Below are 27,273 nucleotides of genomic sequence, written 5' to 3'. Positions count from 1 at the left end.
CGTACTCAGAAGTATCAGATAATCCACCACAAATCAATAAAATTTTAGAAGTTTAAGTCGGTGAAGGAAATTGGACCCGGTACTTTCGGAGCCGGCTGCCCTGCTCTCCATCAGCAGGCGTTCCTGCATCTCATCTGACCTCCTCCGTCCAGAAAGGCGTAGGGACCTGCCCCAGGACGTCTGCGCGGCGAGGAGCATGGGAGAAGAGAGGGAGTGCAGGGCGCCCCTCGGTGGCGGGGAGCCTCCAGGACCTCACCAACCGGTCCCCTCGCTGCGCCCCGTCCGGCTCGCACTCCCGGCCCCGCCCACCCCTCGGGGCCCCTCCCGAGACCACGCCCCTTCCGCGGCCGTTGCTCCGCGCTTCTGCTTCCGGCGGCGCTGGTGGTGGCGCGCGGCGCGGCGCGGCGATGGCGGCGGGTGGCAGCGATCCGCGGGCTGGCGACGTAGAGGAGGACGCCTCACAGCTCATCTTTCCTAAAGGTTGGGCTCGGGGCTGCCAGACTCCCCCGCGCCACTTCGCGTGGTCGCCGCAGGCCTGGCGTTATGCGCGCTTCGCCCAAGGCCCTGCCTCAGCGGCGGCTTGGGCAAGCCCCAGCGCGGCGTGGGGCTGGGGAGGGAACATGGCCTTGGGAGGGACCATGGCCTTGGGAGGGACCGCCTGGGCAACTGGGTTATTTTATGTGATAAACTGCGAAGTTCCGGGGACCTGTGTCAAAGATAAACAAAGCCGGACACTCAGGTGGTAAGGACAGATTTTTAAACAGTAATATACTGTTGCACTAGGGAAAAGAGCCCAGCGTGAACCGAACTCAACTTCGATTAGTACAGAACCTCTGGGCGTTTTAACGGAGAATTAGGGAATAAGGATGTGGTGAGCGGGAGCTCGGGGGAGTCGGGGAAGTGAGAAATGTAAAAAAGCGGGAAGAGGAGGATTGGTCCGTGTGAACGCAGCTTGGTTTGTTGACTGGCGCACCTGTCGAAGTTAGGCCCCTACCCTCCCACAGAGGCAGAGAGACAGAGTCCTATCTTCAGCTGTTGGCTGGAACAAATTATTTTGGCAGCCTTGAGTTTTCTCACGCACGCACTTTAAGTGGTTGGGGAGGGTATTCCTAGGGATGAGGTCTTCAGCTCAAAAACTTGAAAATGTATACAGCTGTCTTACACTTTATTGATTTATTGATTTATTGATTGAGATAGGGTCTCGCCCTCTTGTTGAGGCTGGAGTATAGTGGCATGATCAGAGCCCACTGCAACCTCAACCTCTCAACCGCTCAAGCTATCCTCCCACCTCAGCCTCCCAAGTAGCTGAGACCACAGATGCACGCCCCCATACCTGGCCCATTAAAAAAATTTTTTTCGTAAAGACAGGGTCTCACTATGTCGCCCAGGCTGGTCTCAAACTCCTGGGCTTAAGTTAATCACGGCACCTGACCTATCTTATTCTTTTATTCATTCATTCATTTACTTATTTAGAGACAGAGTCTCACTCTGTTGCCCAGGCTGGGGTGCAGTGGTACGAACTCGGCTCACTGCAACCTCCGTCTCCTGGGCTCAAGTGATTATCCTGCCTCAGCCTCCCGAGTAGCTGGGATTACAGGTGCCCACCACCACACCCGGCTAATTTTTGTATTTTCAGTAGAGCTGGGGTTTCACCATGTTGGCCAGCCTGTTCTCGAACTCGTGACCTCAGGTGATCCACCCAGCTCGGCCTCCCAGAGTGCTGGGATTACTGATGTGAGCCATTGCCTGGCAAAATAATAAATTTAAAATTAAAACGGAAATACTACCCTCTAAGAAATAAAAAATATAAAAATGAAAAAATGTTTATTATGTGTTTTTTGTATTTTATGGTTTAATACGTTAGAACTTACTATTTTAGTTGTTAATTTATTTTTTTTAATTTTTTTTTTAATTTTATTTTGAGATAGGGTTTCACTCTGTCACCCAGGCTGGAGTGCAGTGATGTGATCTCGGCTCACTGCAACCTACCCCTCCTAGTTTCAAGCCATCCTGCCTCAGCCTCCCAAGTAGCTGGGACTACAGGCGCCTGCCACCATGCCCAGCTAATTTTTGTGTTTTTAGTAGGGACGGTGTTTCACCATGTTGGCCAGGCTGGTCTCGAACTCCTGACCTCAAGTGATCCACCCACCTTGGCCTCCCAGTGCTGAGATTACAGGTGTGAGCCACCTCACCCTGCCTTTTTTTTTTTTTTTTTTTGAGACGGGATCTCATTCTGCTACCTAGGTTGGAGTGCAGTGGTGTGATCACAGCTCACTGCAGCCTCAACCTTCCCTAGGCTCAGGTTATCCTCTCACCTCACTTCAGCCTCTGGAATACTTGGGACTACAAGTGCAGGCCACCACTCCTGGCTAATTTTTGTATTTTTTTGTGGAGACAAGGTTTCACCATGTGGCCCAGGCTGGTCTTGAACTCCTGGGCTCAGGTAATCTGCCCGCCTCGACCACCCAAAGTGTTAGAAAGTATAGGTGTGAGCCACTGCACCTGGCCTATTAATGGTCGTAATGACGTATCCTCGGTAAAATTTCCAGATGACATACAGCCAAGGAGTTGTTTTTCCTTTTTTAGCAACAGAGATTAATTATGGCCATTGTTCTTAAAATATTTGCACAAGAGAAAATAACAGGCAGATCCCCTGATCTATTTCCTTTTGTTTCTAAATAAATTGTGTGTGTGTGTGTGTGTGTATGTGCGCGCGTGTGCGCGCCTTCACTTGAAAATGTTCCTTGGGATTAGCCATGGGGAGAAGTCTTGGATCCCTCCTCTCCATAGTTACACAAAAGTGTCTGAACTGCCTCCCCCATCCCCATTTTGTTGATGCTGAATCCTGGGAATGCCTCCCAAAAGCTCTGTGGTAGGTCTCAGACACCACTTTCCTAGGCACTCTGAGTTACAGTTTGGCTGCCTCGACCTTCCTTGGTTGAAGGGAGTGAGGGTAATGTATTAGTAGTACTTGGGTATTGTTCTTAATGAGAAATAGGGACAGTTGACCAGTTTCCTGGTGTCCTAAAAGTTCCATTCCTTTCCATTTAACAAGTAATTTGGTTTAGTGCAGAAAGGGACCATCTCTCTTTTTTTTTTTTTTTTTTTTTTTTGAGACGGAGTTTCACTGTTGTTGCCTTAGGCTGGAGTGCAGTGGCACAATCTCGGCTCACTGCAACCTCCACCTCCCGGGTTCAAGCAATTCTCCTGCCTCGGCCTCCTGAGTAGGTGGGAGTACAGTCATGTGCCACCACTCCCGACTAATTTTTGTATTTTTAGTAGAGATGGGGTTTCACCATGTTAGGCTGGTCTCGAACTCCTGACCTCAGGTGATTCACCTGCCTTGGCCTCCCAAAGTGTTGGGATTACAGGCGTGAGCCACTGCGCTTAGCCTGGGAGGCATCTCTTAACATTGATTTTTCCAGGACCTGTAAAAGCATCAAAGTTCCAACAAACAGATTTGTAACTGATTAGCTGCTGCTTCCCTTTTTTTTTTTTTTTTTTTTGGCCTGATGTCATTTGTTACTGTCACTTCAGAGTTTGGAGGTTCTGCAGTCCTGATACATAATGCCTTTTCCTCTACTCATTGCTGTGAGGCAGTAGTTTCTTCTGTACCTACACTGCCTCAGTGTTAAGGATTAAAAGAGGTAACTTTCCTGGTATACAAATAGGCTCTCACTGTAGTAAATCCCCTGTTATAGGCTAGAAGACTGAAAAAGAAGGTGTTCTGAGGTTTTCGTTTAAACTCTCCTGCCCTCAGGTAGAAAACAGTTTTTGGTTACCTATTTTTTAATTTATATTTTAATTTTATTTCAATAGTGCTCCAACTGTATTGGCAGCCTATTCTATTTAGTAGCAATGAGTACCTTTCAAATAAAAATACAGTTTCCTCCTGACCCACCACTTAAAACTATCTGTGTTGTAAAAGGAAAATGAAGCTCTTGTCAGTTACCTGGCTTGAGAAATGGGAAGGCATTACTCTGAGGGAGGTGTTAGTGATTTCCCTGATAGTAAACAGACCCATAGCACATCTAAATGTGAAATTGCAAGTCGTTTTGGCTTTTCCTCACTGTTGCTTCCTCTTCAGTGTGGGGTTATAAACATGAATTCATGTTTATGAATGGTTCCTACTCTAAGGGAACTCACTGTTAAGAGAAAGGCAGATAAAAACTATCTCTAATACTTTGAGATAAACATTAGGAACATAAGATCCTGCAGGAACGTAAGGGAGAGAATGATTTTCCCAAGGGTAACAGCATTTTTTAACAGAACTATTGTAGAAATGTAGAAGGTCGCCGTATATTATGAAAAGGGGCCATGGGTTTCTTTTTCTCTCAAACCTAATTCTTAAAAATTGCTTATAACATTTGTGTGTGCACAAAAATAGATTTTGGGGTACATTATATTTATTTCCAGACACTTGGCCCTATTTAACATGTAACAATTCTTAAAATTGAGAGTATAATACTAGCATTATGGAAGTAGGAAGATGATGAGCTGATGCCGGCTAGAGGGAAGGAATTGTCAGTGTACTCTTGAAATCAGTAACTAGTCTATGTGTCATTACTTAGTAGCATGTCTAGGTCAGGTTTTTGGTGTCAGAATCTAGCTCAGACAAGCTAAATGTTAGTGTCTCGTGAACTCCACTGTGCCTTGTGGTATGTAACTGTGCCTTGTGGTATGTAACTGTGGGTGAACTTAAAGATGTGGAGTAGCTGCAGGCATAAAAAGGAAGGAGATCCCAGCCTGGGCAGTGTGGTGAAACCCCCATCTCTACCAACAACACACAGGGTGTGGTGGCGTGTGCCTGCAGTCCAGCTACCTGGGAGGCCGAGATGGGGATGGGGCATCACCTGAGCTCAGGGAGGTCAAGGCTGCAGTGAATTGTATTCATGCCACTACACTCCAGCCTGGGTGACAGATTGAGACTCTGTCTCAAAAAAAAAAATAAAAGAACGAAATCATATCTTTTGCAGCAACATGGATGGAGCTGGAGGCCATTCACTTAAGCAATTAACACAGGAACAAAAGACCAAGCACCTCACATTCTTATAAGTGGGAGTTAAACCTTGAGTACATATGGACAGAAGGGAACAACAGACACTGAGGCCTAGTTGAGGGGGTGGGTGGTGCAGATTGAAAAACTATGTATCAGTACTATGCTTATCACTTGGATGACAAAATAGTCTGTTCGCCAAACCTTCACAACACCCATTTTCCCTGTAGTACAGACCTGCACATGCACTCTGAACCTAAAATAAAAGTTCAAAAAAAAGCAGATGTGGAGTAGGAAACCCCTCGATTTCTGCAGGGGCAGAGAAATGTTCAAATGCACAGTGAACATTTAGAAGCAAACTTTTGAAGGAGTATTTTCAGCTGCCATTTATGCTTCTTACAAATAGAGTTTGAAACAGCTGAGACACTTCTAAATTCAGAAGTTCATATGCTTCTGGAACATCGAAAGCAGCAGAATGAGAGTGCAGAGGACGAACAGGAGCTCTCAGAAGTCTTCATGAAAACATTAAACTACACAGCCCGTTTCAGTCGTTTCAAAAACAGAGAGACCATTGCCAGTGTTCGTAGGTGAGTGCTAAAAGAAAGTTTTTATTAATCCAAACCATTGGACAACTGCATGTAGAATGCTGTCCCCTCCCCCTTTCCCAGGTGTCACTTGTGAATTTAAGTAAAATAATGTTAGGCTGGGCATGGTGGCTCACACCCAGCACTTTGGAAGGTTGAGGCAGCAGATCACTTGAGGCCAGGTGTTCAAGACCAGCCTGGTCGATATAGCAAAAACCCGTCTCTGCTAAAAATGCAAAAAATTAGCTGGTGGTACACACCATTAATCCTAGCTGCTCAGGAGGCCGAGGCGGGAGAATCGCTTGAATCTGTAGGCCAAGGTTGCAGTGAGCCGAGATTGCGCAACTGCACTCCAACCTGGGCAACTTAGAAGACCAGAATTTCAGCCAGGTGTGGTGGCTTACACCTGTAATCCACACTTTGTGGAGCTGAGGTGGACCAGTCTCTTGAGGCCAGGAGTTCAAGACCAGCATGTGCAACATGGTGAAACTCGTGTCCCTACAAAAAAAATACAGAAATTAGCCAGGTGTGGTGGCAGGTACCTGTGGTCCTAGTTACTTGGGAGGCTGAAGTGGGAGGATCATGTGAGCCTGGGAGGTTGAGGCTTTAGTGAGCTGTGATTGTGCCACTGTACTCCAGTCTGGGAACAGATTCAAATATGAATCTGTCATATTTTGTGTAAGTCCAGTATGTGTGATCTAAATGGTACTGTTAGTGGGGAAGTAACTTTTTTTGTTATTTTTTTTAGAGATGGGGAGACTTACTATGTTGTCCAGGCTGGTCTCAAACTCCTGGCCTCAATTGATCCTCCAACCTTAGCCCCCCAAAGTGCTGGGATTGGCCGGGTGCAGTGGCTCATGCCTGTAATTCCAGCACTTTGGGAGACCAAGATGGGCACATCTCTTGCGGTCAGGAGTTCAAGACCAGCCTGACCAAAATGGTGAAATCTCGTCTACTAAAAATACAAAAATTAGCTGGGCGTGGTAGCGCATGCCTGTAGTCCCAGCTACTTGGGAGCCTGAGAAAGGAGAATTGCTTGAACCCGGGAGAGGGAGGTAGCAGTCAGCCAAGATCGTGCCACTGCACTGCAGCCCGGGTGACATAGAGTGAGACTCCATCTCAAAAAAAACAAAGTCCTCGAATTAGAGGTAAGCCACCATGTCCAGCCTATAGATAGATAGATAGATAGATAATAGTATTTGTACCTATGTATGAGGTACATATGATATTTTGTTACTTAGAATGTGTAATGAGTATGTTAGGGTATTGAGGGTATTGATCATTTCTATGTATTAGGAACATGTCAAGTCTCCCTTAGCTATTTTTATTTTATGTATTTATTCATTGATTTTAGAGACAAGGTCTCACTGTGTTGCCCAGGCTGAAGACGTCTTGAACTCCTGGACTCAAGTGATCCTCCTGCCTTGGCCTCCCAAAGTGCTAGGATTACAGGCATGAGCTGCTAAGCCTGGCCTCTTCTACCTTTTTTTTGTTTTGTTTCGTTTTGTTTTGAGACAGTCTCACTTCATCACCCAGATTGGAGTGTAGTGGTGCGGTCTTGGCTCACTGCAACCTCCACCTCCCAGGTTAAAGCAGTTCTCATGCCTCAGCCTTCCAAATAGCTGGGACTACAGACACACACCACCACACCCGGCTAATTTTTTTAGTTTTTTGTTTTTTTGGTTTTGTTTGTTTGTTTGTTTGTCTGTTTTGAGACGGAGTCTAGTTCTGTCACCCAGGCTGGAGTGCAGTGGCGTGATCTTGGCTCACTGCAGCCTCCGCCTCCCGGGTTCAAGCAATTCTCCTGCCTCAGCCTCCCGAGTAGCTGGGAGTAGCCCGCCACTGCACCCAGCTAATTTTTGTGTTTTTAGTAGAGACGGGGTTTCACCACGTTGGCCAGGCTGGTCTTGAACTCCTGACCTCCGTTGATCCACCCGCCTCGGCCTCCCAAAGTGCTGGGATTACAGGCGTGAGCCACTGCGCCTTGGCAATTTTTGTATTTTTAGTAGAGACGGGGTTTCGCCATGGTGCTCAGGCTGGTCTCGAACTCCTCACGTCAAGTGATTACCCACCTTGGCCTCTCAGAGTGCTGGAATTACAGGTGTGAGCCACTACACCTGGCCGTCTAGCTATTTTTAAATACTAGCTACGTTTGATCCCTTTTTTCCTGTTGATTACTCTTTGATTTTTGTTGTTTATTTGTTTTTGATTATTTTGATTTTTTTTTTTTCCTTTTGATTAGCTTGCTACTCCAGAAAAAGCTTCATAAGTTTGAGTTGGCCTGTTTGGCCAACCTTTGCCCAGAGACTGCTGAGGAGTCCAAGGCTCTAATCCCAAGGTTAGTACCAGTTGTGATAAGTTCTCTGTATACTGGATAAATTCCTACAAATAGAATTGGTGTGTCTAAAATGTGTATGCGTTATATATTTGGGTACATAATTGCCAATATTGAATGAAAGTGCCTTTTTTTTTTTTTTTTTTTTTTTTGAGACGGAGTTTCGCTCTTGTTGCCCAGGCTGGAGTGCAGTGGTGTGATCTCGGCTCACCACAACCTCTGTCTCCTGGGTTCAAGCGATTCTCCTGCCTCAGCCTCCCGAGTAGCTGGGATTACAGGCACGCACCACCACACTTGGCTAATTTTGTGTTTTTAGTAGAGATGGGGTATCTCCATGTTGGTCAGGCTAGTCGCGAACTCCCAGCCTCAGTTGATCCACCCGCCTCGGCCTCCCAGAGTGCTGGGATTACAGGCGTGAGCCACCGTGCCCAGCCAAAAGTGCCCTTTTAACAGTGTGTGAGAATGATGGTTTTATACCACACCAAGTGATAGCAAAAATATGAAACAGCTGGAACTTCTGTACGCTGATGGTAGGATTGTGAGTGTTAATTAGAACAATCATTTTGGAGAGTGATTTGGCTATGTCTGGTAAAGATGAATATACTCCAAGTTCCAAAAATCCATTCCTGGTACATATCCTAAAGGTAACTCACACAAATTTAGAAGGAGACGTATATTTTAGTGTTCATTGCTGCATTGTTTTGTTTTTAGTAGACATGGGGTTTCACCGTGTTGGCCAGGCTGGTCTCAAACTTCTGGCCTCAAGTGATCTGCCTGCCTCAGCCTCACAAGTGCTGGGATTACAGGCATGAGCCGCGGTGCCCAGCCTCATGCTCCACTGCTAATGATAGCAGAAATTTGATAATCTCTTGGCCAGTAAGAAAATGGATAAATGAATCATTGTATAATCATACAATGTTTATTATACAGCAGTAAAAAAAAAATCAATGAACTAGAACCACATGGAATATCAACATATGCCAGAATGAATTTTGAGGAAAAAAATTGCAGAAGGATAAATACAGTATGATGCCATTTCTTATAAAGTTTGAAACTATGCTGCATATTATTTACGTATCCATAAATGTGTAGTGAGTATAAAAATATGTATGGCAAAACAAATTTTTTTTAAATGTATGGCAATGATAAATACTAAATTGAGGATGGTGGTTATTTCTGGGGAAGGAGGGAAGGTACTGGTCTAGGAGAGTATACACAGCCATCCACTTTTCCTGCTTATTAAAGAACTCTGGGCTGGGCGCAGTGGTTTAAGCCTGTAATCCCAGCACTTTGGGAGGCCGAGGCAGGTGGATCACAAGGTCAGGAGGTTGAGACCATCCTGGCCAACATGGTGGAACTCCATCTCTACTAAAATACAAAATTAGCTGGGTGTGGTGGTGTGCGACTGTAGTCCCGGCTACTCGGGAGGCTGAAGTAGGGGAATCACTGGAACCCGAGAGGTGATGGTTGCAGTGAGCCGAGATTGCGCCACTGCACTCCAGTTTGGCAATAGAGCGACACTCTGTCCCAAAAAAAAACTCTGGCCAGGTGTGGTGGCTCACACCTGTCATCCCAGCACTTTGGGAGGTTGATACCATTAGAAAACATGAAGACAGTAAATGAAAAAATGCAGGGCCGGGCGTGGTGGCTCATGCCTGTAATCCCAGCACTTTGGGAGGTTGAGACAGGAGGATCACCTGAGGTCAGGAGTTCGAGACCAGCCTCGCCAGTGGTGAAACCCCGTCTCTACTAAAAATATAAAAATTAGCTGGGTGAGGGCTGGGTGTGGTGGCTTACGCCTGTAATCCCAGCACTTTGGGAGGCTGAGGCGGGCGGATCACGAGGTCAGGAGATCGAGACCGTCCTGGATAACACAGTGAAACCCTGTCTCTACTAAAAATACAAAAAATTAGCTGGGCGTGGTGGCGGGCACCTGCAGTCCCAGCTACTTGGGAGGCTGAGGCAGGAGAATGGTGGGAATCCGGAAGGCGGAGCTTGCAGTGAGCCGAGATTGCGCCACTGCACTCCAGCCTGGGCGACAGAGCAAGACTCCGTTTGGTAGGCTGAGACAGGAGAATCACTTGAACCCTGGAGGTGGAGGTTTTGGTGAGCCGAGATCATGCCACTTCACTCTAGCCTAAGAGGCAAGAGCGAAACTCCATCTCAAAAAAAAGAAAAAAAAAAACCTCTAAGTCAAGTGGGGCTAACTGTAAAGGTATATTTTTTATACCTTTTATCTTTTATATGTTTGAAATATTTTGTAATGTTTTATCAGGAAAAGTGGAAAAGAAATCCAGATGAAAGGTAAAGGTGTTAGAGATGTGGGCAGTAGATTAGCACGCCTCAAAGAAGAGTGCGGGGAAATTGCCAGTCGCCAAATCACTCATTTCTTTTCATTTTCTTGTAGCTTGGAGGGACGGTTTGAAGATGAGGAGCTGCAGCAGATTCTTGATGATATCCAGACAAAGCGCAGCTTTCAGTATTAATCTCCAAACATCACTGCTGCTCGGAGAAACCACATCCCCAGGCATAACACCACCTTCCCACTGTCTGGGGCTGACTTGCACAGAAATTCTGTTGAAGACAGTTGAGAATTCCTTTGGAGAAAACAGCCCAGCTTGGCGTGGGGTTAGGTTGCTGTTTCAAATAACTCACAGGCCCAGGTGACATGGAATCTTGGAGCAGCCTTGTGCAGTGGCAGCCAGTGGCTTCCTGAACGTGCCTCTGCGAAGTGTGAGATGAGGGGTCACATAACCACACTGTTGACTACCTCATTCCTGGTTTTTGGCCTCCACATCATCTTTTTTCTTAATATTTCATGTTTTAATTTCAGGGTGTTTATACTTTTTGAAACTAGACCAGAAGATAGTAGACTTTATAGAGAAAGACCAGTTTTACCTAGATACTAAAGGAAGAATTAAACCGCTGTTAGTTTGAAATGCTTTTTTTTTTTTTTTTTAAATGGAGATAGGGTCTTAACTCTTGTCCAGGCTGGAGGAGTGCAGTCGTACAGTCATGGCTCACTGAAGTCTTGACCCCGCTGCCTCAGCCTCCCAAATAACTGGGGCCACAGGTGTGCACCACAACTCTCAGCTAATTTTTAAAATTTTTTATAGAGGTGGGGTTTTACTATGCTGTCCAGACTGGTCTTAAACTCCTGGGCTCAAGTGATCCCCCTGCCTTGGCCTCCCAAACTGGTGAGATTACAGGCATGAGCCACCACAACTGGCCTGAAATTCTTAAAGGATGGGAGTGTCGATGACAGCACCTTGGCATCGTTGTGCCTAACCTGGGAGACGGAAGAAGCACGCCATGGGAAGTGTTTACACTTGGGGACAAGTGCTAAGTATTGTGGAGCCCATAGCCCCTTGAGATAGATGGCTACTTTGCCTTTCTTCTTGAACTGTCTTGCAGAATGTGGATTTGGGGTAAGTGGTCTTGAAGGATTCATTTAGTCACCCTCAAATTAAGATTTTTACTTCATCTTTCTTGGGCCTGCACCTCCAAGATAACAAAGAAGAAGCAATGGTCGTGCCAAAGAGGTCCACAACCAGGTGTGCACTGTTCACTGCAGCCCATTTGCTGTATGAACTGTGGTTGTTGTGTGCCCAATGACAAGGCTACTAAGAAATTCATCATTTGAAACGTAGAGGCCGCAGCAGTCAGCGATGTTTCTGAAATGAGCATCCTTGACGCCTGTGTACTTCCCAGGCTGGATGTGAAGCTACATTACCATGTGAGTTGTGCCATTCACAGCACAGTGGTGAGGAATTGAGCTCATGAAGCAGGCAAGGACCGAACACCTCCACCCCAACGTAGACCTGCAGGTGCTGCCCCATGACCTCCACCAAAGCCCATATAAGGAGCGGAGTTGTTAAGGACTGAAGAAAAACTTCTCTGGAGAAAAATAAAATTGCAATTCTACTTAAAAAAATTTTTTTTTTTTTTTACTTCATAGGCCAGGCTTGAAGTTCTGAACACTTTGAAGTCTCCAATTATGAGAGATCCAGTCTAAGCCTCTGGCCTGCTAATTAGCAATAAGTGCTTTATTTGGAAGGAGGGAGTCATCCACTCTTGAGCCACTGCAGTGAAGTCACTTGATCTCAGTCTGGGGGAAAACACTTCAATAGCTAAACATTCTAGCTTTGATTTTTCTGAAGGGAATACACTTGTTTTCAATTTTGGGGTTTTTCTTTGGGGCACTTGCTTGACTCTGTATGAACTTGTGATCCAAGGAAAAAGGAGAAAGAACAGTGTTGGCTTTTAAAATCAGGATGGTTTTATGTTTGCTACGAAATAAGGCAAGAATAAAAAATTCTTATTTTTATTTATTTATTTATTTTTTGAGATAGAGTCTGGCTGTGTTGCCCAGGATGCAATGGCGCAATCTTGGCTCACTGCAACCTCTGCCTTCTGGGTTCAAGTGATTCTCCTGCCTCAGCCTCCCAAGTAGCTGGGATTACAGGTACCTGCCACCACGCCTGGCTAATTTTTTGTGTTTTTAGTAGAGACAGGGTTTCACCACGTTCGCCAGGCTAGTCTTGAACTGACCTCAAGTGATCCTCCCACCTCGGCTTCCCAAAGTGCTGGGATTACAGGCGTGAGCCACCGGCCAATCTTTTTATCCTTGAGCAACTTCGCTTCTTTGAGCCTCATTGGTGTTCTCAATTGTGAAATATGGATAATAGTATCTGCCCCATGGGTATTTTGAGAAGGTTGAATGAACAGGAAATTATTACAAAGAGCCTAGAGGTGTCTGATATATAGTATGTTCCAGTAAATGTTCACTATTCTTAGCATCTCAGGCAGATGAGCTAGTATAGATAGATGATTAAGTCAGCTTGCTTCATAGAAATTAGTGCAAGAATTTGTTAGCCTACCAACTGATAGTATCAGACTTGGAAAATAAATGAAATTGGGCCAGGCGTGGTGGCTCACCCTTGTAATCCCAGCGCTTTCAGAGGCCGAGGCAGGCGGATCACCTGAGGTTGGGAGTTTGAGACCATCCTGACCAACATGGAGAAACCCCGTCTCTACTTAAAATACAAAATTAGCGGGGCGTGGTGGCGCATGCCTGTAATCTCAGCTACTCTGGAGGCTGAGGCAGGAGAATTGCTTGAACCTGGGAGGCAGAGGGGGTGGCGAGCCAAGATTGCACCATTGTACTCCAGCCTAGGCAACAAGAGCGAAACTGTCTCAAAAAAAAAAAAAAAAAAAAAGTGAAATTGCTTACCCAAATCTACAGTTAACTTTCGTTTTTTAATGCTTGATGAATTTGCATGTCATTCTTGGGCAGTGGCCATGCTGTCTTCTCTGTATTGTTCCAATTTGGGTATATGTGCTGCCAAAGTGAGTACTGCAGAATTATTTCTTGAGAGAGGCACTTACATGTGCTGATTGGCACTAAAGCAGTGGAATGGGAAGAAGAGACTTGGAAGGCAGCCCAGACGATCCAGGCGTGTGCTAGATGGCAACTGAGGAGCACGGTGCTACCATCTTTACTGGTGTTTCCACCTATGTGCCAGGGGTTCTGTGAGCTACCTGAGAATACTGAAGTATATAATGCTCTGGCACATAGTTAGGCACTAATCAGTGGTATTTATCAAGGTGATTAAAAGCAGATTTAAAAAGCAGCTCACAGTTGGGCGCGGTGGCTCACACCTGTAATCCCAGCACTTTGGGAGGCCGAGGCGGGTGGATCACCAGAGGTCAGAAGTTCGAGACCAGCCTGGCCAACGTTGTGAAACCCTGTCTCTACTAAAAATACAAAAATTGGCCACGTGTGGTGGCGGGCACCTGTAATCCTAGCTACTTGGGAAGCTGAGACAGGAGAATTGCTTGAACCCGGGAGGTGGAGGTTGCAGTGAGCCAAGATCATGCCATTGCACTCCAGCCTGGGCAACAAGAGCGAGACTCCATCTTGAAAAAAAATAAAATAATAAAAAGCAGCTCATACTAGGGAACTTGGTAAAGCAACCTCATGCTGTTGTAGGTTGAAAGCCTGGTCAGCTATTCTGCAAGACAGTCAAAAATTGTTTACAGGGCTGGACAGCATATTGCTATTGAAAAATAGCTATTAGGAGACCTTGCACAATTTGTGAAACATTGTTAGGCTCATTGTACTGTGTAAAATCAGGAAAGAATTTGGGAACATACTGATACAACAAAAAGATAGGTTGTCAAACCCTCACTTCACCAGAAAGCTAAATTAACCAGATAAGTCTTTCTGAAAGTTTTAGTGTCTTAGTTTGTTCCTGCGCTGTAACAGAATACCTTAGACTGGGTAACCTATAAATAATAGGAATTTATTTCTCACAGTTTTGGAGGCTGGCAAATGCAAGATCCAGGTGCTGGTACGTTCAGTGTCTGGCAAGGGCGGCTTTCTGGTCCAAGATGGTGCCTTTTTTTCTGCATCTTCCATAGGGAATGAACACTCCTTATGGTAGAAGGGATGGAAGGACCAGGCTTTTTTTTTTTTTTTTTTTGGATACAGCAGGATCTTGCTCTGTCGCCCAGGCTGGAGTGCAGTGGCATGATTAAGGTTCACTGCAGCCTCAATCTCCCACTCTCCAGCGATCATCCCACCTCAGCCTCTTGGATAGCTGGGACCACAGGCACGAGCTACCATGCCTGGCTAATTTATTTTTTGTAGAGACGGGGTTTCGCCATGTTGCCCAGGCTGGTCTGGAATTTCTGACCTCTAGCAGTCCACCTGTTTCCGCCTCCCAAATGCTGAGATTAGAGGCATGAGTCACTGCACCCAGCCCGCAGCCTCTTTTATAAGGGCATTAATCCCCTTCATGAGGGATATTCTCTCATGACTTAATCACCTGCCAAAGACCCCACCTCTTAATACTACATCAGTGATGGGTTCAATGTATCAATTGGGTGGGAGGGGGCACATTCAGACCATAGCATCTAGTCATTCTGGTTTTATTAAGATTTATTAGACCTGAGGCATGAAAAATAGCATACTGGATGGGACTTCAGCATCGATGAGTTGCCTTAGTAATACTGTTAATAAAAAGCACTAAATATGCCACTGGTGTCAGATAATTTTTTTACAAAAAATTTTATACTTAACAGAAAACCTGGAAAGACTAGTACATTGATACCTGTGTGTTCACCATCTTGATGTAACGGATAACATGCTATTTGCTTTATCTGTATTTCATTGCTAGGAATGGGGCATTATAGCACTTAGGAACATTGACAAGTATTGCATGTTATTGAATATCCAGCTCATATTGAAGTTTTCCTTGGGGAGAGTTCTGGGTCAAGGGTCAGTCCCAGTAGTGGTGTGGCTCAGTTGTCAGGGTCTAACCTAACAATTGCGGTGAGAAATATTGAGGAAATATATGTGGTTACAGCTCTCAAGTTTCTGTAAAGATCTTTGACTAGATAAAAGTACCTGTTTGCAACTCCTGAATGGGAGATGGGACTAGGGAGACTGCAGGTCCTGGGTAGATTCTGATCAGTATTTGTGCCTACACCCGGCTCTCCTCTCTTCATCAGCGGAAGAGCAGTTTGGAACTAAACAAGGAGAATGCACATTCAATGACAGCAGAGTAGGGGCAGATCTGCTAGAGTCCATCAAACATGGAGCAGGTTCAAAGCAGCGGTGTATGCCTCCCTTCCGTTGTGTGGCACTGTGTATTTTTTTTTTTTTTTTTTGAGATGGAGTTTCACTCTTGTTGCCCAGGCTGGAGTGCAATGGCACGATCTCGGCTCACTGCAACCTCCGCCTCCCAGGTTCAAGCGATTCTCCTGCTTCAGCCTCCCGAGAGCTGGGATTACAGGCGTATGCCACCACACCCAGCTAATTTTTTTGTATTTTTAGTAGAGACGGGGTTTCACCATGTTAGCCAGGATGGTCTGTATCTCCTGACCCCATGATCCGCCTGCCTCGGCCTCCCAAAGTGCTGGGATTACAGGCATGAGCCACCGTGCCCGGCCTGCACTGCGTACTTACTAGCAAATGTTTATTGAGCCCCCATTTTGAATAGCGTCGGTGTGGAGCTACAAGGAGAAACAAGAATACCTGAAATTACAGAATTTGAGGAGAGAGCTCCGTGAGATAGGGGTGAGGGGAACAGCCTAGGAGACAACTGGGAATTTTGAAAGATTCGCAAGGCAAAGCTGTCAGACAGCTTCCTTTGAGATGGGCACATCCCATATCTGAACTGTCCAGTGTACTAGCCACTGGCTGCATGGAGCTTCTGCATATGGTAGGCTAATGACTTAGGAACTGGATTTTAAGCTTAAATTTTATTTATTTTTGAGACAGTCTCCCTTTGTCAACCAGGCTGGAGTGCAGTGGCACGATCCCAGCTCACTGCAACCTCCGCCTCCGAGGTTCAAACGATTCTCCTGCCTTAGCCTCCTGAGTAGCTGGGATTACAGGCACCCGCTACCACGCCCAGCTGATTTTTGTATTTTTTTAGTAGAGACAGGGTTTCACCATGTTAGCCAGGCTGGTCTTGAACTCCTCACCTCAGGTGATCTGCCTGCCTTGGCCTCCCAAAGTGCTGGTATTATAGGTGTGAGCCACCACACCCGACCATAAGTTTAAAATTCTCATAGTCACATATGGTGAGTGACTAATGTATTGGACAGTGCAGCTCTTAGCTACCAACAATGACCTGCAGGGCACTGAGATCAAAGAGAATTTCAGCAAGATGAACAATGCCCACAAGAGCAGCAGTGATAACAGGAACATTAATCAAACGTCGATCCCCCAAATTCTGAGATCAAAAGATGCATGTCACTTTCACTGAGTCCTATATTTCGATGTACCCTAAATTCTGTTTTTAGAAGTCTGCCTCTTCGGCCAAGGCAGCTCCTGACAAGCCCCCCAACAAAGGCCGCCTGAGGCGGCGGTGGCGCCTGCAGGGACCACTAGCAGCCGCGGGCTGAGGGGAGGTCGGGACCGAGGCAGGGCTGCTGTATCCCACCAGAGGAAGGCCGAGTATCCCAGCGCGGGAGGAGCAGCCCCCCGTGCCAGGCCTCCCGATGTCCCCAGGCAGCAGCCCCAGGCTGCAAAATCCCTACCTCCAGTTCAGGGCAAGAAGAGTCCACGACTCCTATGCCAACAACTGATAAAGATTGCAAAGAAGAAAAAGAGGAAGATGATTCTGCCCTCCCTCGGGAAGTTTACATTGCTGCATCCAGACCTAGCTGGGGATGGTGCAGTAGGAGCAGGACATGTGTTTCTCCTCATGGTGATACAGAGAACACCTGAAGCTCTCGGTGCAAGACTGGTTCATTGCAGCTCATCTGCAAATCAGAACCAAGTACAGACCAACTCGATTATGATGTTGGAGAAGAGCATCAGTCTCCAGGTGGCATTAGCAAGGAGGAAGAAGAAGAGATTAATCAGTGAAGAGGAGATGCTATTCAAAGTTGACCCAAGAGATGAGACCTACAAACCCCTCTTAGAAAGGGAAACCCCAAAGCCACGCGAAAATCAGGGAAGGTGAAAGGAGAGAAGGAGAGGAGGGAAATTAAAGTGGAAGTAGAGGTAGAGGTGAAAGAAGAGGAGAATGAAATTAGGGAGGATAAGGAACCTCTGAGGAAGAGAGGAAGAAGATGGAAAGATGGCAGAAGTCCACATTTACCCAGAAGGAGAAAAAAGCCTGCAACCCAGTATGTCCGTTGTGAGATGGAAGGATGTGGAACTGTCCTTGCCCATCCTGGCTATTGACAGCACCACGTTAAATAGCATTTGTTGAAGAAAAAATACGTATGTCTGCATCCCTCCTGTGGACTACTCTGTAGGCTCCAGAAGCAACTTCTATGACATGCCAAACATCATACAGATCAAAGGGATTCTGTCTGTGAATACTGTGCTCAGGCCTTCAAGAGTTCCCACAATCTGGTAGTGCACCAGATTGTTCACATTGGCGAGAAGCCGTTATTACAATGTGAGATCTGTAAATTTACTTATCGGCAAAAGGCGTCTCTTAATTGGCACATAAAGAAGCATGAGGCCGGGCGCGGTGGCCCATACCTGTAATCCCAGCACTTTGGGAGGTCAAGGCGGGTGGATCGCCTGAGGTCAGAAGTTCGAGACCACCCTGGCCAACATGGTGAAACCCCATCTCTACTAAAAATACAAAAATTAGCTGGGCGTGGTGGTCCATACCTGTAGTCCCAGCTACCCGGGAGACTGAGGTGGGAGAATTGCTTGAACCCATGAGGCAGAGGTTGCAGTGAGCCGGGATCATGCCACTGCACTCCAGCCTGGGCGACAAGAGTGAGACTCTGTCTCAAAAAGATAAATAATTAAGGCCGGGCACACGCGGTGGCTCACGCCTGTAATCCCAGCACTCTGGGAGGCCGAGGTGGATGGATCACGAGGTCAGGAGATGAAGACCATCCTGGCTAACATGGTGAAACCCCATCTCTACTAAAAATACAAAAAATTAGCTGAGTGTGGTGGCGGGCGCCTGTAGTCCCAGCTACTCGGGAGGCTGAGGCAGGAGAATGGCATGAACCCAGGAGGTGGAGCTTGCAGTGAGCCGAGATGGCGCCACTGCACTCCAGCCTGGGCCACAGAGCGAGACTCCGTCTCAAATAAATAAATAAATAAATAAATAAAGCAAAAATTAAAGTCTGCCTCTTAGTCCAGGCGCGGTGGCTCACACCTGTAATCCCAACACTTTGGGAGGCTGAGGTGGGCGGATAACAAGGTCAGGAGTTCAAGACCAGACTGGCCAAGATGGTGAAACCTCGTCTCTACTAAAAATACAAAAATTAGTTGGGTGTGATGGCGGGTGCCTGTAATCTCAGCTACTCGGGAGGCTGAGGCAGAGAATTGCTTGAACCCGGGAGGCGGAGGTTGCAGTGAACTGAGATGGCACTGCTGCACTCCAGCCTGGGTGACAGAGCAAGACTCTGTCTCAAAATAAATAAATAAATAAAGTCTGCCTCTTTATCACTAATGCTGTCAAACAAAATTATGAAAACTGTTTTAAGGAAACATTGGGGAATAGTGAAAAGATTAATCTTTTGATGATAACCTTTTGTTTGTTTGTTTGTTTTGAGATGGAGTCTCACCTCCCGGGTTCAAGCCATTCTCCTGCCTCAGCACCCGGAGTAACAAGGATTACAGCCACGCACCACCACGCCTAGCCAATTTTTATATTTTTGGTAGAGACGGGGTTTCACCATGTTGGCCAGGTTGGGCTTGAACTCCTGGTCTCAAGTGATACGGCCACCTCAGCCTCCCAAAGTGCTGGTATGAGCCACTGCACCCAGCCAATAACCTCTTTTCTAATTAATTTTGCCTTTTCAGTGGGCATATAACCTGTCTGTTGAATTTCAGTCTGGGCACCATGGCTCATGCCTGTAATTCCAGCACTTTCAGAGGCGAAAGCAGGAGTATTGCTTGAGCCCAGGAGTTAGAGACCAGCCTGGGAAGCATAGCAAGACCCCGTCTGATTAAAAAGCAAAAAGAAGGAAAGGAAGACAGAAGAAGGAAACAAACCCAACATGTTCACCTTTTAGGTTTCCAATATCTATATTTTGTAATGCTACTAATATGGGCCCTGCACAGGAATACTTCCAGATTCACAGACTGATGTCTTTGTAAATTCAGACCAACTTCTGTTTCCCAAGTCATATAAACACCCTGAGACCATGCATGTCCCAAATGTATTCTCCTTATTAATACAGAGTTTAACACATCCTCATATTCAAAGGGAACTGGAAGTTATGAGATATTTGAAAACCAATACTTTTTAAACTCAGCAATGACAGAAGAAATAAACGATGGAAAGACTTGATCATGTAAAAATTTAAAACTTAAAAGTCACTTTTTTTTGGAGATGGTCTCACTCTGTTGTCCAGGCTGGTCTTGAACTCCTGGGAAACCACCCATTTCAGTCTCCCAAAGTACTGGGATTACAGGCATGAGCCATTGCACACAACCAAAATCATTAACTTTTTAGGAAGTCAATAGACTGTCTAAAGATTTGATAAGATGTATAGCAGAGAACACAGACAAGGGTGAGGATATTTATTTGTGGCTGGGCGCGGTGGGGTGGCTCACACCTGTAATCCCAGCACTTTGGGAGTCCGAGGCGGGCGGATCACCTGAGGTCAGGAGTTCAAGACCAGCCTGGCCAACATGGCAAAACCTGGTCTCTACTAAAAATACAAAACTTAGCCAAGCGTGGTGGTGGGCAACTGTAATCCCAGCTACTTGGAAGGCTGAGGCAGGAGAATTGCTTGAACCTGGGAGGTGGAGGTTGCAGTGAGCTGAGATTGTGCCATTGTACTCCAGCCTGGGCAACAGAGCGAGACTCCATCTCCAACAACAACAACAAAAAGATGTGGGCTGGGTGCAGTGGCTCACGCCTATAATCCAGCACTTTGGGAGGCCGAGGTGGGAGGATCACGATGTCAGGAGTTCGAGATCAGCTTGGCCAACATAGTGAAACCCTGTCTGTACTAAAAATACAAAAAATTAGCCCTGTGTGGTGGCCATGCCTGTAATCCCAGCTACTCGAGAGGCTGAGGCAGGAAGGCAGAGGTTGCAGTGAGCCGAGATCACGCCATTGCACTTCAGCCCGGGCAACAGCGCAAAACTCCGTCTTAAAAAAAAAAAAAGAAAGAAAGAAAGAAAGATGTGTACATCAAGACCTTGGCTGGGTACAGTCACTTATGCCTGTAATCCCAGCACTTCAGGAGGCCAAGGCCAGAGGATTGCTTGTGGCCAGGAGTTCAAGGCCAGCCTGAGCAACATAGTAAGACCCCATCTCTACACACACACACACACACACACACACACACACACACACACACACACACACACACACACACACACAAAGAAAACTTAGCCAGGCATAGTGGTGCATGCTTTTGGTCCCAGCTACTTGGGAGGCTGAGGTGGGAGGATTTCTTGAGCCCAGAAAGTCAGAGCTGCAGTGGGCTATGATTGCACCACTGCATTCCACATTGCAGCCTGGGTGACAGAGCAAGACCCTGTCTCAAAAAAAAAAGACCTTTTTTTTTTTTTTTTGAGATGGAGTCTTGCTCTGTCACCAGGCTGGAGTGCAGTGGCACGATCTGGGCTCACTGCAACCTCCGACTCCGGGGTTCAAGCGATTCTCCTGCCTCAGCCTCCCAAGTAGCTGAGACCACAGGCGCCCGCCACCATGCCCGGCTAATTTTTGTATTTTTAGTAGAGATGGGGTTTCACCATGTTGCGCAGGCTGGTCTTGAACTCTGGGGCTCAAATGGTCTGTTCTACTCGGCCTCCCAAAGTGCTGAGATTATGAGCGTGAGCCATCACGGCCGGCTTTTTTTTTTTTTTTTTTTGAGACGGGGTTTGGGGTGGAGTGCAGTGGCACGATCTTGGCTCACTACAAACTCCGCCTTCCGCGTTCAAGTGATTCTCCTGCCTCAGCATCCCGATTAGCTGGGATTACAGGTGCGAGCCACCAAGCCTGGCTAATTTTTTTGCATTTTTGGTAGATACAGGGTTTCACCATGTTGGCCTGGCTGGTCTCGAACTCCTGATCTCAAGTGATTCGCCCACCTCGGCCTCCCAAAATGCTGGGATTACAGGTGTGAGCCTCTGTGCCAGGCATGACCTCAATTTTTATTTATATTCTTTTTTTTTTAAGCTGTATCTGCTGGAATGGGATTTTTTTTTATTTTTTTTGAGACAGGATCTTGAAAGTTACGTTATAGAGAAAAATAGAACTCAGTAATATATAGAAAGTGACATACATGTTTAGATACCAGAATTTGGGGGGACAAAATTTTTTTTGACTCCACTGTCTCCAGCTCAGGCTGGAGTGTAGTGTGTGATTGTTGCTCGCTGCAGCCTCGAACTCTTGGGCTCAGGTGATCTTCCCACCTCAGCTTCCCAGGTAGCTGTGACTACAGGCACGTGCCACCATGCCTGCTATTTTTTGGTTTTGTTTTTTTTGTAAAGACAGAGTTTCCCTATGTTACCCAGACTGGTCTCAAACTCCTTGGCTCAAGTGATCTTCCCGCCTCAGCCTCCCAAAGTGCTGGGATAACAGGCATGAGCCACTGCACTGGGCTAATGAGCAACTTCTTTGTGTCAGGTGCTGTTGTATACACATGGGGATATAACAAGACAGGATGCCAGCTCTCAGAGTCTACAGCCTCAGTGTGGCAAGATACATATATATATATAAAGAAAATGTGCTGTTTCCATGGTTTCCTCTGTTAACTGTTTTCCTTTTCCAATTTCCAGTAGAGTGTTATTTATTCCCTTGTCATTTTCTTTTTTTCTTTGAGACAGAGTCTGTCTCTGTCACCCAGGCTAGAGTGCAGTGGCAGGATCTCTGCTCATTGCAACCTCTGCCTCCCAGGTTCAAGCGATTGTCCTGCCTCAGCCTCCCGAGTAGCTGGGATTACAGGTGCCCACCACCATGCCCAGCTAATTTTTGTACTTTTAGTAGAGACAAGGTTTCACCATGTTGGCCATGCTGGTCTCGAACTCCTGACCTCAGGTGATCTGCCCACCTCGGCTTCCCAAAGTGCTGGGATTACAGGCGTGAGCCACTGCGCCTGGCCACCATTTTCTTTCTTGTACCATTTTGGAAGTTTTATGCCTTCTATATATTTTTTTTTACCAGCTATTGTTAAATTTTTAACACTCATTTTTTTTTTTTTTTTGAGACAGGGTCTTACTCTGTTGTCCAGGCTGGAGTGCAGTGGCAAGATCTCGGCTCATTGCAACCTCTGCCCCTGGGGCTAAGGCGATCCTCCTGCCTCAGCCTCCTGAGTAGCTGGGACCACAGGTGCACACAACCATACCTGGCTAATTTTTTTGTATTTTTTTGTGTAGAAATGGGGTTTTGCCATCTTGCCTGGGCTGGTCTCGAACTCCTGACCTCAGGTGATCCACCCGCCTCAGCCTCCCAAAGTCTTGGGATTCTAGGTATGAGCCTCAGCTCCCGGCCACCATTGTCTTTTGACCTCTATTGTTGCTGATAAGAAATCTCACAGTCTAGGGCCGGGTGTGGTGGCTCACACCTGTAATCCCAGCACTTTGGGAGGCCAAGGTGGGCGGATCACGAGGTCAGGAGTTGGAGACCAGCCTGACTAACATGGTGAAACTCCATCTCTACTGAAAATACAAAAATTAGCTGGGCATGGTGGTGGATGCCTGTAATTCTAGCTACTTGGGAGGCTGAGGCAGGAGAATCGCTTGAACCCAGGAGGTGGAGGTCGCAGTGAGCCGAGATCCTGCCACTGCACTCCAGCCTGGGTGACAGAGTGAGATTACTTCTCAAAAAAAAAAAAAAAGAAAGAAAAAGAAATCTGACAGTCTCAATATTATTCATTCATAGATAATCTGTTGTTCCTGGTTGCTTTTATGGTTTTGTCCTTGTTTTTTGTGTTTTACAACCTCACCACAAGATGTCTGAGTATGGCTTTATTTTTGTTTATCCTATTTGAGTGTTACTGTGCTTCTTCCATCTGTGGATTCATGGCTTATACTTTAGGACAGTTCTTAGCATTGTCATATTAACCGCAGCAATTTTTTCATTCTCACTCTTCTCTACTTTTTTTTTTTTCTTTGAGACGAAGTCTCTCTCTGTTGCCCAGGCTGCAGTGCAGTGGCGTGATCTGGGCTCACTGCAACCCCTGCCTCCTGGGTTCAAGCTATTCTCCTGCCTCAGCCTCCTGAGTAGCTGGGATCACAGGTGGGCACCGCCATGGCCGGCTACGTTTTGCATTTTTAGTAGAGGTGGGGTTTCACCATGTTGGCAAGGCTGGTCTCAAACTCCTGACCTCAGGTGATCTGCCTGCCTCAGCCTCCAAAAGTTCTGGGGTTTCAGGCATGAGCCACTACGCCTAGCCTCCCTCTTCTTTCCTTCTTGACTTTTATTCTATCTATACTGTATTTAACTTTCTTATTCTCTGTATATCTCAGCCTTTCTTACATATTTTGTATTTTTAAAAATCTCTTGGTGCTGTATTTTGAGTGATTTCCCTGAATCTATCTTTTAAACCACTAAGTCTTTATTCAGCTATGACTAATCTCCTCTTTAATGTATCCACTGAGGGTTTTTATTTGTATTTTTTAAAATTTTTTTATTTTTTTTGAGACAGAGTCTGCCTCTGTCGCCCAGGCTGGAGTGCAGTGGTGCGATCTCAACTCACCACAACCTCCGCCTCCCGGGTTCAAGTCATTCTCCTGCCTCAGCTTCCTGAGTAGTTGGGATTACAGGCGTGTGCCACCATGCCCGGCTAATTTTTTTTTTTTTTTGTATTTTTAGCAGAGACAGGGTTTCACTATCTTGGCCAGGCTGGTCTCGAACTCTTGACCTTGTGATCTGCCCATCTCAGCCTCCCATAGTGCTGGGATTACAGGTGTAAGCCACTGCGCCTGGCCTTTATTTTTATTTTTTAAACAGCTTTGATAGGACACAGTGGCTCACACCTGTAATCTCAGCACTTTGGGAGGCTGAGGCAGGTGGATTACCTGAAGTCAGGAGTTCGAGACCAGCCTGGGCAACATAGTGCAATACTCTACTAAAAATGCAAAAATTAGTGGAGTGTGGTGGTGGGCACCTGTAATCCTAGCTACATGAGAGGCTGAGGTGGGAGACTCGCTTGAACCTGCGAGGTGGAGGCTGCAGTGAGCCGAGATTGTGCCAATGCACTCCAGCCTGGGCAACAGAGTGAGACTCTATCTCAAAAATAAATAAATAAAATAAACAGTTTTGTTGAAATATAATTTACATACCACAAAGTTCATTCATTTAAGGTACACTAATGATCTGTAGCATATTGACAGAGTTGTGCAACCATGATAAGTTACTATTTATTCATTTTTACTTTTATTTTTTGAGATAGAGTCTCACTCTGTTGCCCAGGCTGGTGTGTAGTGGCATAATCTTGGCTCACCACAACCTCTGCCTCCAAGGTTCAAGCAATTCTCTAATTTTTGTATTTTTAGTATAGGTGAGGTTTCACCATGTTGGCCAGGCTGGTCTTGAACTCCTGACCTCAGGTGATCCGCCCACCTCAGTCGGCACTCCAAAGTGCTGCACTCCCAAATCTCAGCACTCCTAAAGTGCTGGGATTACAGGCGTGAGCCACTGCACCCAGCCAAGTTTTTATATTTTGTTGTAGAAATGGGGGTCTCACTTTTTTGCCCAGACTGGTCTCAAACTCCTGGGCCCAAGCAATCCTCCTGCTTTGGCCTCCCAGGTATGGCCTTCCCCATACCTAGTCAGAGGAGGTCATCTTTCCTCCTGTAGGTCTTGCCACATGGCTTGGCCTTACATGGGCCGGTGACCAACTGGCCACTTCTGTAACTTCTAGGTGGTTAACCACAAGGTTAAGCCTCAATAAACTGCCCAGCTATTGGTGCAGATTACCATAGGTGTCACCTCTTTGGTGTTCACCATCCACACGGCTTTGAGTTCAGCCCATTGGCTACTTTGTCCACACCTGGTATCAAACCATATGGTGTCAGTACTAGGGTGGACTGTGACAGCAACCCAGGGAGCAGTAGCACCCCAGCTAGACCCATCTGTATACCATGCATCATCAGGAATGGGGGGACACCCTTCCTTAAATGGTGAAGGCCCAGGGTCTGGGGGTGCCACAGGCCCCACGGCCTTATCTTGCATTAGGACTACAGGTCCCAAGACCTCTTGCAACTCTGCCGCTAAGGGACTTGTACCCAGCGTATTCCGCTGCTCTAAGTAGGCGCCCCCCTTTGCCAAAGTGGATGTCTGCACTGTCCCATTCCACGAGTTGTTACCCATGAACGTATCCATCCCACTGTTGAGTAAATCATCTGCATGATGACTGTAGCCCGTCCTGCATGCTTTCATAAGCCTGAAGAACGACATATACAGCTGCTAGCTGTTTCTCTATCAAAGAATACTGGAGCTCAGCTCCCTTCCATAGTGGGACCAAAAGCCTCCTGGCATTCTCAAGCGCTCCATGTGCTGCCACAGGCTCCAACCGAAACCATCTGTGGTCACATGCACATCCAGCTCAAATGGGTGCCCCTGGTCAACTACCCGTAGAGCTTGTGCCTGCTAAATAGCCTGCTTGGCTGCTAGGAAGGCGGTCTCAGCCACACCATACCAATCTCAGGCAAGAGGGGCATTGATGCTTCTAAATCTGCAAGAGAATCAGAGGTTAACATAATATTGTCAATGAGACCATGACATATGGTGGGGCTATGCATATAGCCCTGAGCAACACTGAAATTTCATTGTCACCGTCCCATGAAGTCAAACTGTTCTTGGCTCTCTGGAAAAGAATGGATTAGCCAAGTCCACCACATAGTGCTACTGTCCCAATTCTGTTGTCAGGCAGTCCATCAAGTTTGTGATAGACAGCACAGCTGCCAAGCCATGTAAAATATCCACACCTAGAATGTATTTACATAAGTGGCCAATGCCAAGGTGCAAAGATACAGGTTTCACTTTCATTGATCAGTTTTCATAGCTGTCTATGAAGCCTTGCCTGGAAACTTATCCAGGTTCCCATAGAAAAGGGTACAACCTGCACTGGTACCTACCAGCGCAAGCACCTGCTGTACAAATTAAACAGAAAAGAATCTATACCACTGCCTGGCTGCAGCATGTAGTCTTTGAGCTGAAGTGCCTGGGTGGGACTGGGTTGCATATCAATGTCCTTCTCCCGCTTGGGCATTTTCTGGAATTGCTGCTCCGGAGACAACTGTTCTCACAAAGTTAGGAGTACTTCATAGGGCTGCTTATAGATTGTTTTCTCAGTCAACACTGGCCAAAATCAAATCCACCCACACCTGTGAACATGTCACTCTTTGGGTCCCCCTTTCTCCCATGGGGAGGCCCCTTGTGCGTGGGGCATCTTCCCCTTCTTTACGGCATGGACCCCTGGGTCCTGCTGACAGCCTTCTGATGGACCACTGGGCCACTCCACAACGGGGGTTCTTCCCCCTCAGTATCACACCAAGTGGGGGTCTCTGGCCAAGACGATGGACCCAGGCCTGCATTCACAGAAGCTTCTAACTCATTTTCTGAGCCGTGTAGCTGGGCCTCCAGGCGCCCTGCCTGTACCTGGAGGGCCCTCACCTGCACTGCATCCCTCAGGGACTGGGTGTGTACTTCTCCTAGCGCAGTAAAAATGCCCACCAACTCTGCCGGCAAGAGCTTGCTCTTTCTCAGTGCTCCATGCTTCCAGCTGCCCCAGTGCCTTCTCCATGCTGGCGGGGGACCCATCCACTGCTGCTCAGTTTACTACCGGAGCCCATCGGAGCAGCACAGCTGCCACCGGGTACCACAACCCATGTTGCAGCCACATGGCAGACCCAAAATCAGCAGAGACCAAAGGGTCACTTATCCCAGGATCCTGTTTGT

At 46.7% G+C, this 27,273-nt stretch overlaps 1 protein-coding gene and 4 pseudogenes across 1 annotated transcript, besides 2 other annotated features; 3 read left to right on the top strand and 2 right to left on the bottom strand.

The window, feature by feature from the left end:
- LOC107985803 (uncharacterized) overlaps nucleotides 1–198 on the bottom strand; it is a 28,878-nt pseudogene extending 28,680 nt beyond the window's left edge.
- Nucleotides 209–518: a silencer, noted in NCBI's record as "silent region_11937". NCBI's record gives its function as "represses an Ori minimal core promoter by ATAC-STARR-seq in GM12878 lymphoblastoid cells {active_cell/tissue: GM12878}" and the evidence as "EXISTENCE:reporter gene assay evidence [ECO:0000049][PMID:35858748]".
- On the top strand, nucleotides 353–14,955 carry POLR2D (RNA polymerase II subunit D). The gene is made up of 4 exons (NM_004805.4): nucleotides 353–480; nucleotides 5,403–5,583; nucleotides 7,823–7,918; nucleotides 10,323–14,955. Exons 1-4 carry the CDS (start codon nucleotides 408–410, stop codon nucleotides 10,399–10,401), a joined length of 429 nt encoding a protein of 142 aa, NP_004796.1. The 5' UTR covers nucleotides 353–407; the 3' UTR covers nucleotides 10,402–14,955.
- Nucleotides 749–918: an enhancer, noted in NCBI's record as "active region_16506". NCBI's record gives its function as "activates an Ori minimal core promoter by ATAC-STARR-seq in GM12878 lymphoblastoid cells {active_cell/tissue: GM12878}" and the evidence as "EXISTENCE:reporter gene assay evidence [ECO:0000049][PMID:35858748]".
- On the top strand, nucleotides 11,428–11,777 carry RPS26P19 (ribosomal protein S26 pseudogene 19; annotated as a pseudogene).
- Nucleotides 13,167–13,272, bottom strand: RNU6-395P (RNA, U6 small nuclear 395, pseudogene; annotated as a pseudogene).
- ZFP91P1 (ZFP91 pseudogene 1) lies at nucleotides 16,743–17,905 on the top strand (annotated as a pseudogene).

This window comes from Homo sapiens, chromosome 2 (genome assembly GCF_000001405.40).
Source record: "Homo sapiens chromosome 2, GRCh38.p14 Primary Assembly".
Classification (NCBI taxonomy): domain Eukaryota; kingdom Metazoa; phylum Chordata; class Mammalia; order Primates; family Hominidae; genus Homo; species Homo sapiens.
This window is presented reverse-complemented; position numbering and strand designations above follow the sequence as displayed.

Excerpts from the sequence above, each read along its gene's own strand:
- POLR2D (NM_004805.4), top strand. The coding sequence starts at position 408 with ATGGCGGCGGGTGGCAGCGATCCGCGGGCTGGCGACGTAGAGGAGGAC. Across the intron at positions 481-5,402 it reads ACAGCTCATCTTTCCTAAAG|AGTTTGAAACAGCTGAGACA; the intron begins GTTGGGCTCGGG and ends TCTTACAAATAG. Across the intron at positions 5,584-7,822 it reads ACCATTGCCAGTGTTCGTAG|CTTGCTACTCCAGAAAAAGC; the intron begins GTGAGTGCTAAA and ends CCTTTTGATTAG.